This window comes from Homo sapiens, chromosome 2 (assembly GCF_000001405.40).
Source record: "Homo sapiens chromosome 2, GRCh38.p14 Primary Assembly".
Taxonomy (NCBI): Eukaryota; Metazoa; Chordata; class Mammalia; order Primates; family Hominidae; genus Homo; species Homo sapiens.
Genome location: NC_000002.12, coordinates 232,469,521 through 232,487,869, shown reverse-complemented (window position 1 = coordinate 232,487,869; position 18,349 = coordinate 232,469,521). Strand labels below are relative to the sequence as shown.

At 56.2% G+C, this 18,349-nt stretch overlaps 1 protein-coding gene across 2 annotated transcripts, besides 2 other annotated features; it reads left to right on the top strand.

Annotated features, from left to right (window-relative positions):
- Positions 36–8,043, top strand: ECEL1 (endothelin converting enzyme like 1). Of its 2 annotated transcripts, none has more exons than NM_001290787.2 (18): positions 36–151; positions 1,116–2,002; positions 2,603–2,671; positions 2,779–2,889; positions 2,977–3,069; positions 3,274–3,398; positions 3,647–3,869; positions 4,356–4,454; positions 4,691–4,765; positions 4,916–5,013; positions 5,262–5,320; positions 5,401–5,452; positions 6,021–6,088; positions 6,240–6,364; positions 6,714–6,779; positions 7,057–7,152; positions 7,395–7,471; positions 7,618–8,043. In NM_001290787.2, the coding sequence occupies exons 2-18, from the start codon at positions 1,217–1,219 to the stop codon at positions 7,715–7,717; spliced, it is 2,322 nt and encodes a 773-aa protein (NP_001277716.1). In that variant the 5' UTR covers positions 36–151; positions 1,116–1,216; the 3' UTR covers positions 7,718–8,043. The 2 variants fall into 2 exon arrangements, with proteins under 2 accessions (NP_001277716.1, NP_004817.2); NM_004826.4 differs by having other exon boundaries at positions 4,916–5,019.
- Positions 1,382–1,989: an enhancer, noted in NCBI's record as "H3K27ac-H3K4me1 hESC enhancer chr2:233350591-233351198 (GRCh37/hg19 assembly coordinates)". NCBI's record gives its function as "activates a minimal SCP1, AML or CMV promoter by ChIP-STARR-seq in naive H9 embryonic stem cells {active_cell/tissue: H9 hESC(naive)}" and the evidence as "EXISTENCE:reporter gene assay evidence [ECO:0000049][PMID:30033119]".
- Positions 10,420–10,919: an enhancer, noted in NCBI's record as "H3K27ac hESC enhancer chr2:233341661-233342160 (GRCh37/hg19 assembly coordinates)". NCBI's record gives its function as "activates a minimal SCP1, AML or CMV promoter by ChIP-STARR-seq in naive H9 embryonic stem cells {active_cell/tissue: H9 hESC(naive)}" and the evidence as "EXISTENCE:reporter gene assay evidence [ECO:0000049][PMID:30033119]".

The window sequence follows — 18,349 nt, the reverse complement described above, 5'->3', positions numbered from 1 at the left end:
GCAGGCGGGCGGCGCGGCGGGCTCGGCGCGGCGGCAGAGGAGGCGGCGGGCGCTGGGAGACACCGGACGCCCGCTCGGCTGCGCTGCGGCTCAGGCCCCCGCTCGGGCCCGACCCGCTCGGTCACCGCCGGCTCGGGCGCGCACCTGCCGGGTAAGTGGCGCCCGAGTCCCTGCCGCTGAGGCCACCACCGCGGCCACTTCCGTCGCCGCCGCCGCCACTGCGCGGAGCCTCCCGGCTTTGTCTGCGTCCTCTCGGCTGCGGCTCCGGCTGCGGCTGCGGCTGCGGCTCCCGGGCTCGGCTCTCGGGCTCCGCGGACTGCGCCGCACGGCGCCGGGGCTCGGGGGTCGCCAGCCAGCTCGCTCCCCGCCGGGGGTGAAACTTCGCCCAAGTTTGGGTTCTGGGGAGAACCTGTTGAAGCCAGGAGTGGCTCGGGGCGGGGACAGAGATGGTGGGAGTGGGGGGAGGGAACCCGTCTCGGGTTCTCCATCAGGGCCGTCCAGTGGGTGGGTTGTGTGTCCGCCACCCTGGGGCGTTGGCGCGCGCCCCTAGGGAAGGGGCGAGTGGGCCGTCGGGCCACCGAGCAGAAGGAGCCAGGGAGCGGGGTTGGCGTGGTCGATCCCGCGGACTTCCGCGAGGACAAAGTTTGGTTCTTTGGCCGCTTTGCGGAGCGTCTGTCTGGGTCCAGCGCGGAGAGCTGAAAGTGTCGCATAGACGCGCCCCTGACCGCACCTCCTCACTCCAGCCTCCGCTTCTTCCCCCACTCCACCCGGCCTTGGCTGGGGCAGGTCGTGGAAGAGAAAGGCGAAGGGGAAGAGGGACGACCTTTCAATGAAGGCCCACTACGTGCCAGGCCCCTTGCCTGGCGCCTCTTGCTTCCAATAAGAGCCCTCCCAACCCTGCGGCCCTCAAGTGTGTGCAGGGAGGGGACAGGGGGGAAGACTCCACTGTGCACCCGGGGGTGGTGGCCCCGCCGAACCCTCATAGTCCCTGGTTTCCGCAGTGAATGAGGCCCGCGGCTGGGGCCTCTGCACCCAGGCCTGTGTCCCTCCTCGCGGTGACCCTGAGCCCCATCCGGCTGCGGCGCCTCCTGAGCCTGCTTCCGCCCTTCCCGCAGCTGCGGCCCCAGGGCCATGCGGAGGCCCACGAGGAGGCCGGCGGCCACGCGCATCCCGTAGCCCAGGTGGCCCAGGTCTGCACCGCGGCGGCCTCGGCGCCATGGAGCCCCCGTATTCGCTGACGGCGCACTACGATGAGTTCCAAGAGGTCAAGTACGTGAGCCGCTGCGGCGCGGGGGGCGCGCGCGGGGCCTCCCTGCCCCCGGGCTTCCCGTTGGGCGCTGCGCGCAGCGCCACCGGGGCCCGGTCCGGGCTGCCGCGCTGGAACCGGCGCGAGGTGTGCCTGCTGTCGGGGCTGGTGTTCGCCGCCGGCCTCTGCGCCATTCTGGCGGCTATGCTGGCCCTCAAGTACCTGGGCCCGGTCGCGGCCGGCGGCGGCGCCTGTCCCGAGGGCTGCCCTGAGCGCAAGGCCTTCGCGCGCGCCGCTCGCTTCCTGGCCGCCAACCTGGACGCCAGCATCGACCCATGCCAGGACTTCTACTCGTTCGCCTGCGGCGGTTGGCTGCGGCGCCACGCCATCCCCGACGACAAGCTCACCTATGGCACCATCGCGGCCATCGGCGAGCAAAACGAGGAGCGCCTACGGCGCCTGCTGGCGCGGCCCGGGGGTGGGCCTGGCGGCGCGGCCCAGCGCAAGGTGCGCGCCTTCTTCCGCTCGTGCCTCGACATGCGCGAGATCGAGCGACTGGGCCCGCGACCCATGCTAGAGGTCATCGAGGACTGCGGGGGCTGGGACCTGGGCGGCGCGGAGGAGCGTCCGGGGGTCGCGGCGCGATGGGACCTCAACCGGCTGCTGTACAAGGCGCAGGGCGTGTACAGCGCCGCCGCGCTCTTCTCGCTCACGGTCAGCCTGGACGACAGGAACTCCTCGCGCTACGTCATCCGCGTGAGTGCGCCCCCTGAGCGCCCTGCCAGCGGCCGCGGATCCGGGGCGCAGTGGCCTTGCCCAGGGGTCCCTGCGCGCGGGAGGCGGGTGCGTGAGAGGAGAGGAGGGAAGAGACGAGCAGGAGAGGGGAGGGGAGGGGAGCGCACAGAGGCAGAGCGCGGGAGGAGGGCGCAAGTAATTTCCCTGGGGTAATTGCGGTGTTTAGAGGAGCCGCGGGAGCCGCAATTTCCCAGCCCTCTGGCAGGCAGTGAGGGCCAGGAGGGAGAGGCGCGCCGGCGGGCTGGGTTGACGTCTCCGCGAGGTCTGGAGCTGGCCCCAAAGCTAGGGGTCCCAACTGTCAGTGGGGGACCTACGAATGCCCCGGACAGATAAGGAAAGTGCAGACGTACAGGGGTAAGATTGGGCATCCGCAGGCTGGGACAGTCAGGGATGGGGCTTTGGCCATCTCGTCTGGGTGGAAAGAGGAGCTGGGGTCTGCGTGCTTCTGTGGCTGTACTCATGGATGTCTGGTTGCTCTCTGGGCATTGGAGTGGGAATTCCCTCTGTTTAGGGAACCTGAGGTGTGGGCCTCTGACCTGTGGCCCCTGTCTCCCTCCCCAGATTGACCAGGATGGGCTCACCCTGCCAGAGAGGACCCTGTACCTCGCTCAGGATGAGGACAGTGAGAAGGTGCTGGGGCATGGGATGGGGAGGCAGGGAAGGCCTGGGGCCCCAGGAGGGGTGGATCCAGGCTAGGCCTGTCCCTGTCCCTGGGTGAGCCCCCTCCCCTGGTGCAGATCCTGGCAGCATACAGGGTGTTCATGGAGCGAGTGCTCAGCCTCCTGGGTGCAGACGCTGTGGAACAGAAGGCCCAAGAGATCCTGCAAGTGGAGCAGCAGCTGGCCAACGTGAGCAGACCAGGACTGGAGGCTGCCCTGGGCTTGAGGGAGGGCATCATGGAGCAGGGCTGGGTCAGCTGTGATCTCTCCCCACAGATCACTGTGTCAGAGCATGACGACCTACGGCGAGATGTCAGCTCCATGTACAACAAGGTGACGCTGGGGCAGCTGCAGAAGATCACCCCCCACGTGAGTGTGGCCCAGTCCTCGTGGGCAGGCAGGGTTGAGGGCAATGCTGCTGCTGGGACTACAGGGTCATCTCTCCCCAGAGATGGGCAAACCGTTCCTTGGCCATGGACTCTCATGTCCCCTCGCTGCCTCTCTCTGCCCCCTCCCTGTCTTCTGTGGCCCCTGCCAACCCTAGCCTCACTGTCCCTGTCCTTGGTCTCACAGTTGCGGTGGAAGTGGCTGCTAGACCAGATCTTCCAGGAGGACTTCTCAGAGGAAGAGGAGGTGGTGCTGCTGGCGACAGACTACATGCAGCAGGTGTCGCAGCTCATCCGCTCCACACCCCACCGGTATGGCTGCAGATCTGGCATTTTCTGCCCAGCGGTCACTAGGTCCTTCCCCTGCACCCTGGACCTCTCTGCTGGGTGGGCTTTACATTTTCTGCTCTGCATAGCTGGGATGACCCCCTGTCCCTTCTTTGTGGGGCTGTCTGGGTCCTGGGTCCAGCCACAGGTTGGCGGGCACAGGTAGGGGTGGTGCCCTTGGTGGCCCACATGCATGTCCGTCTGGACACCCACTGGCTTCACCTGGTCCCCAGGGTCCTGCACAACTACCTGGTGTGGCGCGTGGTGGTGGTCCTGAGTGAACACCTGTCCCCGCCATTCCGTGAGGCACTGCACGAGCTGGCACAGGAGATGGAGGGCAGCGACAAGCCACAGGAGCTGGCCCGGGTCTGCTTGGGCCAGGCCAATCGCCACTTTGGCATGGCGCTTGGCGCCCTCTTTGTACATGAGCACTTCTCAGCTGCCAGCAAAGCCAAGGTGGGTTGCCCTTGTTTGAGAGAGGAGGATGGTGCTGAACTGAGGGTGGAGCCCTCCCGAGGCCATGGTCCTAATATGGGGAGCCCCACATGTCCCCTGCAGGCAGGGGGACCAGGCCCTGCTAAGTACTCAGCCGATTCTGAGGCCCCAGGCTGCTCCTCCACAGGCCTCCTCCTCCAGGAAGCTTATGTGGACTATCAACTGCAGGCAGACCTCCCTGCCAGGCCCCAGCCCACCTTCTCAGGCATGCTCGGGAGGCGTGGCCTTAGGGATGTCTGTGGTCATTGCTGGGGCAGTTTCCTCCTCTATCTTGTGAGCCCTCGGGGGTGCAGGGCCTGGATCCTCACCTCCAAAGTATCCTCTTGGTGTTCAGAAATGAGGTTTGGGCTTAGAAAGTGGTGCTTAAAGGCAGGGGTACCCCTCCTGCCAGGAGTGATAGACCAGGCTGCTGGGTTGACCCTTGCTCCCTGACCCCTGACCCTGCAGGTGCAGCAGCTAGTGGAAGACATCAAGTACATCCTGGGCCAGCGCCTGGAGGAGCTGGACTGGATGGACGCCGAGACCAGGGCTGCTGCTCGGGCCAAGGTGAGGGGGGACCCAGTGTCATTGGTTGGTCCCATATATATTGAGCACCTACTGTGTACCAGCGAAAGAGAACAAAAGGGACAAAGAGGCCTTCGTGGAGTTGACCAGGCCTGCCTCCCCCACTGTGAAGCCCACTCCCAGGCTGGCCTAGTGCTCCCTTCCTTGGTGGGTAGGGTGGGGGGCGGGGGGCTGTCTCCCGAGGCCTGGTGCCACCTTCACCTGCCCTCGGCCCGCAGCTCCAGTACATGATGGTGATGGTCGGCTACCCGGACTTCCTGCTGAAACCCGATGCTGTGGACAAGGAGTATGAGGTGGGCCCTGACCCTGCCTGCCCAGCCTGTCCACAGCCCCTCTACTAACGGCACTCAGGAGGGCAGGTGGCCTGCACGGCCAGGTTGTTGCCCAGTCTGCAGGTAGCCCTGCCCTGGCCTGCCGCTGAGTGTCGCCCGTGCCTCCTGCAGTTTGAGGTCCATGAGAAGACCTACTTCAAGAACATCTTGAACAGCATCCGCTTCAGCATCCAGCTCTCAGTTAAGAAGATTCGGCAGGAGGTGGACAAGTCCACGTGGGTGCCTGGCCCAGAGCTGGGGGTCAGGGAAGGGTTGTGGGGAAAGGGCAGGAGCTGGTAGGGCAAATCGTCTCACAGCCATGCAGATATGGGGGGCACACACGCCAGCACAGGGCATGGGGTGGGGGCCGGCAGGGTGACCCCCAGACTGTCAGGAGATGGCTGACGAGGAAGCTGTGATGTGAGGGTAGCGGGGGAGGGAGTGTGTTCCCCCCATTCACCCCAGCATCCCTCCACAGGTGGCTGCTCCCCCCACAGGCGCTCAATGCCTACTATCTACCCAACAAGAACCAGATGGGTAAGGGGATGTGTCCCTACGCCGGGCGGGGCAGGGTCCGAAAGTGGATGGGTTTCCCACTGAGCACCCCCTTCTTGTAGTGTTCCCCGCGGGCATCCTGCAGCCCACCCTGTACGACCCTGACTTCCCACAGTGAGTACATAGCTTGCCCTGTTTGTGGCTGAGGGCAGGGCTGGCATTGCAGACCTTGTCTACCAGGTGTGTGTCGGCGTACTGTGGCTCCAATCGCCCCAGACCCAGCTGGGTTCAGGAGTCAGGACAGCTGTGGACCCTGGCTCCCCACTACATCCTTGGTTATTTAGAAAAATGTGTAGGTTTGTTATTTGTAACTTCCTGGGGTCTTCTTTACTTGTTTGAGGCTCATTTTGATGTTTCAAAGGTGGCGCAACACTAATGATGAGGTAGGAGGAGAAACCCCTACGTAGGTGCCTCCGTTTCCCTCCTGTCTCCTCCAGCCCTGTTTCACTGCCCAGCCAGCTCTGTTAGATGTGATTTCCTAAAAGAAGCTGGATAGGTTCCACTGGCATTCACATAGCGCATGAGGAAGCTGAGGCACATGTGCCCCTGGACCGCACGGATGCCTCTGTGGCCTCCCTGTGCCACCTCCTGGCCCGGCCAGGGGACATCTGGGGCCTGGGCAGCAGCATGGGGCTCTCAGAGGGTGGAGGGCTAGGGCCTGATGCTGCTGCTGTGGGCCCAGGTCTCTCAACTACGGGGGCATCGGCACCATCATTGGACATGAGCTGACCCACGGCTACGACGACTGGGGTGAGGCCTGTTGGGGCCCCAGGGGATGGCCCGGAGGGGGCAGGACAGGCAGTGGAGAGGCAGGGTAGGGGATGGCCTAACTGGGGCTGGTGGGTGGGGAGGGGAGGGGGCTCAGGTGAGGGTGGGTCTCAGCCTGCTGCACTGCCCACAGGGGGCCAGTATGACCGCTCAGGGAACCTGCTGCACTGGTGGACGGAGGCCTCCTACAGCCGCTTCCTGCGAAAGGCTGAGTGCATCGTCCGTCTCTATGACAACTTCACTGTCTACAACCAGCGGGTGAGACCCCCACCTGCCCCTTGTGCCCCTCAGGCCTGGTGGGGCACGGGCCGGGAGCATCACGCACACCCTTGCGCACGTGCACATGTCCAAACAAAACCTGTGCCCAGGTCCCTGCACACACATTCGGTTCCCACGCACACTCACGTGGACAGATAATGAGTGTCCGCAGACTTACGGAGGACAAGGGGGTTGGGAGGAAAGAGTAGGGTTGGAGCCCCCCCTCAAACTCTCTGGGCAAGGGAAGGAGAGGGGTGGTAGGAATTAGGGGCTGGGGCCCAGGGTATCAATGCCTGAGGGAGGCCAGCTGGGCCCCAAGCAGCCCCCTGGCCTCTTCCCTTCCCGGCAGGTGAACGGGAAACACACGCTTGGGGAGAACATCGCAGATATGGGCGGCCTCAAGCTGGCCTACCACGTGAGCGGCCTGCCTGTGCTCCACCCCTGCTGCAGGAGGGACGGGGGCTGATGAGGACTCCAGATGAGGGACAGAGCTGCCTCTCCCTGCCCACCCTGCTGAGCTCTGGCCTGGGGTGGGGCAGGGCATGTGCTGGGGCCACGGTCCACTGGAAGAGGAAGGATTCACGGGCCCCCCTTCACAGGGAGAGCAGGGAGGGCTACCTAGATGGAGGACAGAGAAGAAGCGGTGCCCAGGGTGGGCGGGCATAGCAGGTCCATGCTCTCTGTGTCCCCAGGCCTATCAGAAGTGGGTGCGGGAGCACGGCCCAGAGCACCCACTTCCCCGGCTCAAGTACACACATGACCAGCTCTTCTTCATTGCCTTTGCCCAGGTGGGCTGGGTGGGGGATTGGACTGGGAGCCTTGGGGTGGGGACACGGCATCCAGGGTCAGTCCCAGTCCTGCCTTGCCCAGGCTTCGCATGGACAGCCTGTCTGTCATCACCTGTCCCGTCAGAGGTGATGGTCCTGTGGTGCTGAGGGGGCCTACCGCCTTGTGTGCTGGGTGGGGGGCAAGGGGGCGGATGCCTGGCTTCATCTCCCCCTCCTCCCCTCCACCCCGCTCCTGGACCCAGAACTGGTGCATCAAGCGGCGGTCGCAGTCCATCTACCTGCAGGTGCTGACTGACAAGCATGCCCCTGAGCACTACAGGTATGCCCACCTGCCCGCCTGGCCTTGTCCACTCCTTGTGTTTGGGGTGGGATCAGGGGGCATGGGAAGGAATAAAAGTCACCCCTGGTTGCTGGGGCTGGAGTGGCTGCAGGGCCCAACACTGTGTGGGTCTCTCCCCACCCCAGGGTGCTGGGCAGTGTGTCCCAGTTTGAGGAGTTTGGCCGGGCTTTCCACTGTCCCAAGGACTCACCCATGAACCCTGCCCACAAGTGTTCCGTGTGGTGAGCCTGGCTGCCCGCCTGCACGCCCCCACTGCCCCCGCACGAATCACCTCCTGCTGGCTACCGGGGCAGGCATGCACCCGGTGCCAGCCCCGCTCTGGGCACCACCTGCCTTCCAGCCCCTCCAGGACCCGGTCCCCCTGCTGCCCCTCACTTCAGGAGGGGCCTGGAGCAGGGTGAGGCTGGACTTTGGGGGGCTGTGAGGGAAATATACTGGGGTCCCCAGATTCTGCTCTAAGGGGGCCAGACCCTCTGCCAGGCTGGATTGTACGGGCCCCACCTTCGCTGTGTTCTTGCTGCAAAGTCTGGTCAATAAATCACTGCACTGTTGCCTTGGCCTCTTCACGGGTCCCCAGGGCAGGCGGAGCTGGAGAGAGCCCTCTGCAGGGAGGCTAGGGCACTTAGCACAACCGGGACCCTGGAGAGGACCTTCTTGTCTCCTGGTCGCCCTGGCTTGGCCGCCTGTGTCCAGCCTTCCTGGACTCTTCTATCTTTTCCACCAACCGACAGTACTTCCCTGGCCCAGCCGCCCTCCCCCAAAGCCTCGCCCAGGGCTTCTTGCCCAGTTCTGGGGCACCCCTAGTTCAGCCTCATGGCCTGGTGACCCGCATTCCAGGGTGATGCTGGGGCTTATGACCCCTGCAAGTCTGAAGTAGGAGAAACTTCTGCCTTGTCTTAGCCTGGCCCTTGGCCTCAGCCTCCCTGGAGAAGGGGATAGCGATCCACACTTACATGGAGGTGAGGCTGACCCACAGGACATCTCAGCCTCTCCTCCAGTGTGGAGACAGGCTTCTGGGGTGCAGAAAGGAGAGGACTGGTAGGAATGGTAGGCTCCTGGCATGAGGAGGGTGGACAGAGGCAGGGAGTGCTGCCCAGGCTGGAGGCTGCCGGCTGGCCCTGCCTGATCATGGAGGGGCGGCAGGGGTGGGGGGATTATCCTACTGGGCAGCCCCACTCAGGGATCCCGAGTCTGAATTGAGGGGGACCAGCAGGCACCTGCCCTTCCTCCCAGGTCTGTTATTCTTCCTTTGGGGGTGGCCTAGAGGGGTTAACCCCTCCCTGGGCACCGCCCGGTGTGGCCATCCCCATCTCATGAATGGAAGTGGCAAATCTCTTGCCAGCCCAGCTCTTGTCATTCTGCTCAGACAACGCCTGCCTGCACCCTGTCCCCAGCCTTGAGAGACCTTTAAAAAGTCCTTCTTATTGGAGCCTTGGGCAGGACAGCCATGCGTGGCCCTGCGGAGGAGGCTGGAACTGAGAAGGATACCCACGGGAGTGGCCAGTCCGGGATGGGGCGGGGCCCTTCCTCGCAGTCTGCAGGCAGCTGACACTGGGTTCCGAGGTGTCAGGGAAGACTGCAGAGGCTCAGTCCTGGGCACCGAGCCCGGCTCAGAGCTGCCTGTCAAGGGCTCCTTCACAGCGTGCTCCTTGGAGGACCCCAGGCCCCATGGAGGTGCCGTTTCCAGACCTTTCATCCTGAGCTGGGCACACACGTGTCCCTTGGGCAGCTGGAGCAGTACAACAGTCCTCTTCCTGCCACCCTCCTGGGTGGGGCCTGGTGTCTGGGACCCTCCATACCCCGAGGCCCACCCCGCCCCTCTGATCTGGGATCCTGGTTGGAACTGGGATCTGCAGGCCCAGCCCTCTTGCCCTCACCCCGGGCTCCTGCAGTTTCCCAGCTTTACCCACCACCAATCCCTCCTGTGTCCACACCGGCTTAGGGGAGGCCTCAGCATCAGGGGAGCCTGTGGGGTGAGCAGCCAGCAAAGCCAACAGACAGGGGTCCCTTCTGCCCAGCTCAGGAAATGCAATGAGGCTGGGACACTCCTGGGGCCAGGCCCCTTCTCTCTGTGTCCTGCTGAGGATGCAGTGAGGACGGGTGCAGGGAGGTGCCTGGGACAAGACATGAGGTTCCTGGCTTCCAGGCTGGTCCAGAGCAAGTGGCCTGATGCCCAGCAGCACTGTGTGTCACCTGCTAGTTCCCAAACTGCTTTTTCAGACGGGCCCTAGGAGCATCCCCACCGTAACCCAGTGAGATGGACAGAGTGGCAGGAGCCCCTTTAACAGATGGGCCACATGCCCCCAAGGCCACACGCCCCCAAGGCCACACTGCTCATGTCAGGGTCTTGTGGAGCTCAGGTGTCAGCAGGTGTCAGCATGGGTGCATCACGTGTTCCGCTGGGAGACCAGGCACGCTGCATAGTCCCAGCCATCTCTTTGTCTACCAGGCCCCGTCCTAGGATCCACACTGGGCTGTCGATGACTGTGATTCTACTGGGGTCGAGGAATGTGAATGAGCTCAGCATAGCTACCCACCTGGCCTCCGTTGCCCTTGTGTTCAGTGAGGGGACATCAGCCTGGCTGTGAAGGCCCTTCCTGGGTGATTCTAGAAGTGGCTGAGGGGTGGGTTGTTGCTGGGCTGGTTCCATCCATCCCTGAGGGCAGGTTCTCCCACAAACAGGGCACAGCTCACTGGGATGACAGAAAGCAATCTTCGGCCAAGCAGGGAAATAAAGGAGCTGGGATGGTTTACAGCTATGCTTAAACTTCCGGGCATCCAGCCGAGTGAGGTGGCTCAGGCCTGTAATCCCAGGAGTTTGGGAGGCTGAGGCAGGTGGATCGCTTGAGTCCAGGAGTTAGATACCAGCCTAGGCAATACGGGCAAAACCGCATCTCTGAAAAAAATACAAAAATTAGCTGGGCGTGGTGGCATGCCCCTGAAGACCCACCTACTTGGGAGGCTGAGGTGGGAGGATCACTTGAGCCTGGGAGGCAGAGGTTGCAGAGAGCCATGGTTGCGCTACTGCACTCCAGCTTGGGTGCGAGTGAGACCCTGCCTCAAAAAACAAACAAACAAACCAAAAAAACCTGAGAAGAAAAAAATCTTCCAGGTATTCACCTGTGTACCAAAGTTCAGCAGGCGATGCTGTCCCCATCAGTATCCTCAGGGGCTAGCCTCTGCACCAGGTCCTGGTTCTGCCATCCACAGCTTTGTGAGCAGGACTTGAGCCCAGGGGTTACTGCCTGGTGACCTTGGCAAGGGAGGAGCCCTCTATGGTCTCCAGTGTTGCCATCAGCAGATGAGAGGTGACGGGTGCCCAAGCGCTGGCTTGCAGCTGCCACGATGAAGGATTGGCATGCCTGCCCCCTGTTTCCTCCCCAGGTCTGCACAGCTCCCCCGCCTCGGCTGCGAGCTTGCCTCAGAGTTCTCAGGGCCTAGGATGTTGGGGGTGCCCCTCAGCCCTGGGGGCCCTGTGGGTTCCACCTCTGTACAGATTCAGGAAGGATTTGAAGCCAGCAGAGAGGTGGGTTTGTGCCCAAGCTTCCCATCCTAGGGCCAAAGAGGGGACATTGGTGAATGCGGGGGCTGAGCCCAGCTTAGTGGCCCTGGGATTTCTGGGATACCCAGGAAGGGGCACATGGCATCTGGTGCCACTGAACAGCCCTGAGCCCCAGGTCATTCTAACTAGCTCCAGGGAGCCTGGATTTAAGTTCCCACCATCCCTATGGTTGTTTCTATGCTGGCCCTGATGTCCAGGACCCTGGGGGGGCTCAGCTGGTAAGTGCCATAGATACAGTATTTTTAAATGGCTGAAAATTTTTAAATTTCCAAATAGGATGGAAGCCCAGAGTCCTTCATATGCGAATGCCTCTGGGGGCAGGTTCTGCGGGGGGAGATTGGGTTTCTCCACATGGCCCCTTGGGTGGGCTGGTTCTTTCCCACCTCCATGCCCCCCATGGGGGCAGCACCCTAATTCATTTCTTCCCCGGGTCCCACCCACACAATCCTGGGTGGGCCACAGCCTTTGCTGAAGTTTCGGGGTGCCAGAGGGGGTGTGGCCCATCAGCTGCTGAGATCTGCTGTCTCTCTTTCTCTCCTCCCTCCCCCTGCTGAGCTCCTCCCCTCTCCCTGAAGCTGGTTGCAGGAACCCACTTTCCCAGGACTGATTATAAAGAGTAGTTTCCCTTTCCCCCTGCCTGCTCTGGGCTTGTCCAGAGGCTGAGCACTGTCTCTGTCCCCATGGGTGGGCTCTCAAGGACATTCAGCAGCAGGACAGGGCAGGACAGGGCTCAAGAGTCCAGCTTTCCTTCTCCCATCCCCACAGCCTCTGTACCAGTGAGACTGCAGAGGGTTATTTTTATAGATATGAATTTCACTGTCTACCATCCATTAAGAAGCAGAAGGGACTGTAATCTGTTTTTGTTTCAATTAGCATGTTCCCCTTCCTGCTCCCCTTGCAAGGGGCCACAGGACACTTCCATCAGCTCTCTACAGCCTGCAGGGTAGGCTTCTTCTTTTTTTTTTTTTTTGAGATGGAGTTCCACTCTTGTTGCCCAAGCTGGAGTGCAATGGTGTGATCTCGGCTCACTGCAACGTCTGCCTCCCGGATTCAAGGGATTCTCCTGTCTCAGCCCCCTGAGTAGCTGGGATTACAGGTGCACACCAGCACCCTGGCTAATTTTTTGTATTTTTAGTAGAAACGGGGTTTCACCATGTTAGCCAGGCTGGTCTCGAACTCCTGACCTCAGGTGATCCTCCCACCTCGGCCTCCCAAAGTGCTGGGATTATGGCATGAGCCACCGTGCCTGGCCGAAGGGGGCTTCTTGAGAAGCTGAGACCCTTTAGGCTTTGGAGTCAGCAGCTGGCCCTCCCGGGTCTAAGTCACTGCACAGCAATTGATCCATAAGAGGCTGTCGTTGGGAGGACTTTATGGAGAAGAACCTAGGCCACTGATCATGCCATCTATAGTTTCTTCCTATTGCTTATAGAAGGTTTCAGGACAATGGAAAACTCAGCCCATGCACCCCAAGGAAGCCCTTGCTCTATAAGCTCACTTGTCACTGCATTTTGGAGTCCACGATAGATGGCACATAACTGACTGAGCCCTTGGCAAGCTGTGCACTTCATCCCCGTCTGAGAAGAGCAGCTCTTCTCTGCAGCCTCCATCAGGCGGACACTCAGCTTTGCCTGGAAAACCATGAGGGGCAGGAACTGCGACTTCTCAAGACCCCTTCCCCTTGGGGACAACCTTAGCTGTGTCCTGACCTGGCCTTTCCCGCAGAGTCCTTAGAATGAGCAGGAATCCACATCCTAGTGTCCTGGTGTGACCCCTGCCCTGTGACTCCTCTTCATATGGTCCAAGGTGAGCCACAGTTTCCTTCTCTTGTCCAAGCCAAATACCCCTTTTTGTCCCTACTGCTGTTCATGTGACATGGGTTGTGGCTCATGTTGGGGCTTCTCTCTGGGGCCTCCTTTCCATCTGCTTGGGTTGGGGGTTCTCAGCCCTCACTTGTTTGCAGCCCATCTTAGAGGTGCTGTCCCACATGTTCCCCTGGCCATTCCTACTCCCCCACTATCAAGTGTGGCTTATTTTACTCTGTGTCACTGACTCAGGCCACCCTGCTCCCTGACAGCCGGTACACTCTGCTGTAGCAGAAATAAACCAACCTCAAGCAGCATGGTGGAATAGGAAGCTCCTGAATCTCCCCCGACCCAGAAATGCACCAGATAGGTCTATTCACAGGTCAGTTTCCTCAAGACAAAATCAGAGACCAGTTGAGACTCCTACCCATTGAGCAACGGAGAAAGTCATTTTGAATGGTTAGGAGAGTGGAGGCATATTCGGGCATGGCCCCGGGCACCTCACCACCCAGCTGGGAAGGAATCACCCCAGCTTCCTTCTCCCTGTGGAGAGGAGGGTTTGGGCCTTAAATATAGCACCCTAACTCTAAAGTTCCCCACAGTTTGGCTCTTATTTCACCAGCTCTGGGAGCAGAGATTAGACGCATATGAGTCTCTCTAGACCACAGGAATAAAGCAGCAGTTTCATACGGGCATACAAGCACTTCCAGTGGCTTTATCCTCTGGGAACAGTACAGAGAAGGGGCTTAAAAAGAGCGGCCCCCTGTTTCTCCCTCAGATAGAGCACCCCAACTTTTACAGCTTCCACTTGAAAGACTGCATCCTAAACCTCCTAGCTCTGGGGGCAAAGGGGACTGGCATGAATGTGTCTCTCTAGACCACAGGAAGAAAGCAGCATTTTTATACAGGTGCAACAAACACTTCCAGGGTCTTCATCCCCCAGGAGCAGCACAGAGAAGGGGCTTAAAAAAACACAGCCCCCTCTTTGTCCCTGGAAAGGGTTTATACCAAAAATTGAGTTCCCCAACTTTTACAGCTACCTCCCAAAGGACTCCATCCTAAACCTCCTAGCTCTGTGAACAGAAGGGACCAGGTATATGTGAGTCTCCTTGATCACAGAACAAAGTGGTGGTTTTAGATGAGTGTGTAAACACTTCCATGGGGTACACCCCCTTGGAGCAGTGCAGAAAGAGGCAGGAATGTGCAGTTCCCATTCGCTCTCCAGGAGAGGCTCTCGGTACACACTTCCAGTGGCTACTTGACGGTCTGCCTTCTAAATGAACTTGCATAAAGCAGCTAACTGGGCAATGGAACAGAACAGGAGCCCTTCGACAGCTGGAACCAGAGCTTGGTGCTTCATAAGCCTTCTCTCGGGCTCACCCTGGTGATAAATCCAGGCTTACCCATTCTTCATGAAAGGAGTTTGGCCAAGTGCCAAGTGCCAGAACTTCTATAGCTCCCAGCTAAGGGACTGCGTTTTTAATTACCAGCTCTGGGACTCAATGGGGCTTTGCATTCTTGAGTGGCCCTAGACCACAAAAAACAAAGAGGTGGGCCCAATGTCAGCAGCTATCTCCCCAGGATCAAAGAATGCAGCCTGTACAAATGCCTGTGCAGGCATTTGCCACAGATTTTATCCCCAGATTAATGCAGAGAAAGTGGGAGACAAATGCCTGCACTCAGCTTCACTGTAAAGATAGAAGGAACTGGAACACATATCCAACACCCAACCTTTCCAGCTACATCTAGAGAGTCTGGCTGCCATCTCACTGGTATTAGGTACTAACATGATGTAGTACATCCCAAGCTCTAGGGGGCCACCGCAAACAGAGGTAGCAGTCTGGACAAACACAAAGATTTGAGGGACATCTTAAAATCCCAGGTTAAATGGATTGGCGAGATTCTTCTACATGAGGCCAGTCTCACAAGACTGAGGGAAGTAGTTGTCCTATCTAACCCAAAGAGACCAACACAGAGAGTCAAGGAAAATGAAGAAACGGGATGATATTCCAAATAAAGGAACAATACGAATCTCCAGTGAAGAACAAATCCAAGTGAAGTGGAGATATGTGATTTAACTGAATTCAAAATAACGGTCATAGACATGCTCACCAAGGTCAGGAGAGCAATACAAAAACAAACTGAGAATTTCAACAAACAGACAGAAATTAAAGTACTAAACAGAAATCATAGCGCTGAAGAATACTATAACTGAACTGAAAAAGAGCATAAACAGCAGCCTAGATCACACAGAAGAAAGAATTTATAAATTCAAAGACAGGCCACTGGAAATTATCTAATATGAGAAGCAAAAAGAATGAAAAGGATTGAAGATAGCTTAACAACTTATGCATTATTGGCATGCCAGAAGAAGAAAGGGAGAGAAAGGGATAGAATACATATTCAAAGAAATAATGGCAGAAAACATTGCAAGCCTAGGGAATGAAATAGAAAGCCAGATCCAGGAAGCCCAGAGGATGCCAGATAAGATGAATCCAAAGAGATCCACACCAAGACACATTGTAATCGAATTGTCAGTAGTTAAAAAGAATATTGAAAGCAACAAGGGAAAAGTGAATCATCATGTATAAGGGAACCCCCATATGACTATCAGTATACTTCTCAACAGAAACCTTGCAGGCCATAAGGGAGTGGGATGATACATTCAAAATCCTGAAAGGAAGAAAAAAGCCAACTAATAATACTATACCCAGCAATTCTGTCTCTAAAAAATGAAGGTGTGAGAAAGACTTTCTCAGACAAAAACTGAGAGGGTTTTTGTTTTAGACCTGCTTTACAAGAAATGCTAAAAGGAGTTTTTCAAGCTGAAGGAAGAGGATGTTAATTAGTAGTAATATGAAAACATATGAAAGTATAAAACTCATTGGTAAAAGTAAGTACATTGTCAAATCCAAAACACTCTAACACCATAATGGCAGCAGGTAAATCATTTATATCTCCAGTACAAAGGTTAAAAGGTAAAACTTAAAAACAACTAGAGCCACAGTGATTTGTTAAAAGATAAAAATTGTAAAAAGATGTAAAGTGTGACACAAAAACATAAAATGGGAGGAGGAGAAGTAAAAGTGTAGAGTTTATATGTGCAATCAAAGTTAAGTTGTTGTCAACTTAAAATAACCAGTTAAGTATAAGATGGCTTATGTATGCCTTAGGGTAACCACAAAGCAAAAGCCTATAATAGATACACAACAGAGAAAAAGAACAGATCCCAAGCATAGCAGTATAGAAAGCCATCAAATCACAAAGGAAAAAAAGCAAGAGGAAGAAAGGGACAAAAGATCTACAAAATACCCAGAAAATAATGAACAAAATGGTACTAGTAAGTCATTATCTATCAATAATTAGTTTGAGTGTAAATGGGTTAAATTCTCCAATCAAATGCACAGAGTAGCTAAATGGATAAAATAACAAGACCCAACATATGTTGCCTACACAAGACTCACTTTGCCTTAAAGGACACTCATAGACTGAAAGTGAAAGGATAGAAAAAGATATTCAATGCAAATGGGATAAAAAAGAGAAGAGAGGTAGCTATACTTATTTCAGACAAAATATACTTGTGTGTGTGTGTGTGTGTGTGTGTGTGTGTGTGTGTGTGTGTGTGATGGAGTCTTCCTCTGTTGCCCAAGCTGGGGTGCAGTGATGCGATCTCAGCTCACTGCAACCTCCACCTCCCAGGTTCAAGGGATTCTCCTGCCTCAGCCTCCCGAGTAGCTGGGATTACAGGTATGCACCACCATGCCTGGCTAAATTTTGTATTTTTAGTAGAAACAGCGTTTCACCATTTTGGCCAGTCTGGTCTCCAACTCCTGACCTTAGGTGATCTGCCTACCTTGGCCTCCCAAAGTGCTGGGATTACAGGTGTGAGCCACTGTGCCTGGCCCAGACAAAATATACTTTAGGCGAAAAACTGTAAAAAGAGACAAAGTCATCGTATAGTGACATTCTATAGTGGTGAATTCATCAAGAGGATATAACAAGTACAGATATATGTGCACCCAACTTTGGAGCACCTAAATATATGAAGCATGCCTACAATCTCAGCACTTTGAGAGGCCAAGGAGGGAGGACTGCTCGAGGCCAGGAATTTGAGACCAGCCTGGGTACCATAGCAAAACCCCATCCCTACAATCAGTCAATCAAGCAACCAAACAAGCAAACCTTAAGGGATCTGAAGAAAGACGTAGACTACAACATAATAATAGTAGTGAATTGCAATTCCTCACTTTCAGCATTGAACAGATCCAAACAGAAAGTCAATAAGGAAACATCCGATTCGAACTACACTTTAGACCAAATGGGTCTAACAGATATATATAGACCGTTCCACCTAAAAGCAACATAATACATATTCTTCTCGAGTGAACATAAAACATTCTTCAAGGTATGTCGTATATTAGGCTACAAAATAAGTCTTAACAAATTTAAGAAGATTGAAATTGGCCAGGTACAGTGGCTCACTTCTATAATCACAACATTTTGGAAGACCGAAGCGTGAGGATCACTTGAGCCCATGAGTTTGAGACCAGCCTGGGCCACATAGAGACACTGGACATGGTAGCGTATGCCTGTAGTCCCAGCTCCTAGGGAGGCTGAGTCAGGAGGATTGCTTGAGCCTGGGAGTTCGAGGTTGCAGTGAGTGGTGATCAGCACCACCACACTCCAACCTGGGTGACAGAGCAAGACCCTGTCTCAAAAAAACAGAAAAAGATTGAAATAATATCAAGTATCTTTTCCAACCACAGTGGTATGAAACTAGAAATCAATAACAGAAGGAATTATGGGAAATTAACAAATATGTGGAAATTAAACAATATGCTTCTCTGAACAACTGGTGAATCAAAGAAGAAATTAAAGGGTAAACTTAAAAATATCTTGAGATGAACAAAAAATGGAAGCACAATATACAAAAATGCATGGGATGCAGCAAAGGCAGCTTTGTTTTGTTTTGTTTTTTGAGATAGGGTCTCACTCTGTTGCCCAGGCTGGAATGCAGCAGCGCAATCTCTGCTTACTGTAGCCTTGAACTCCTGGGCTCAAGCAATCCTCCCACCTCAGCCTCCCAAGTAGCTGGGACTACAGGCAGGTGCCACCATACCCAGATAATTTGTTTTTATTTTTGTAGAGAAGGAATCTCACTATGTTGAACAGGCTGGTTTCAAACTCCTGGCCTCAAGCAATCCTCTCACCTCAGCCTCCCAAAATGCTGGGATTACAGACATGAACCACCACACCCAGCCTAAAGCAGTTCTAAGAGGGAAGTTTATAGCAATAAATGCCTATATCAAAAAAGAAGAAAAATCTCAAATAAACAGGCTAATATTATGCCTCAAGGAACTAGAAAAAGAAGAACAAATTAAGGTCAAAGTTAGCAGAAGGAAGGAAATAACAAAGATCAGAGCAGAAATCAATGAAATAGAGACTAGAAAAACAATAGAAAAAAATCAACAAAACTAAGAGTTGGTTTGTAAA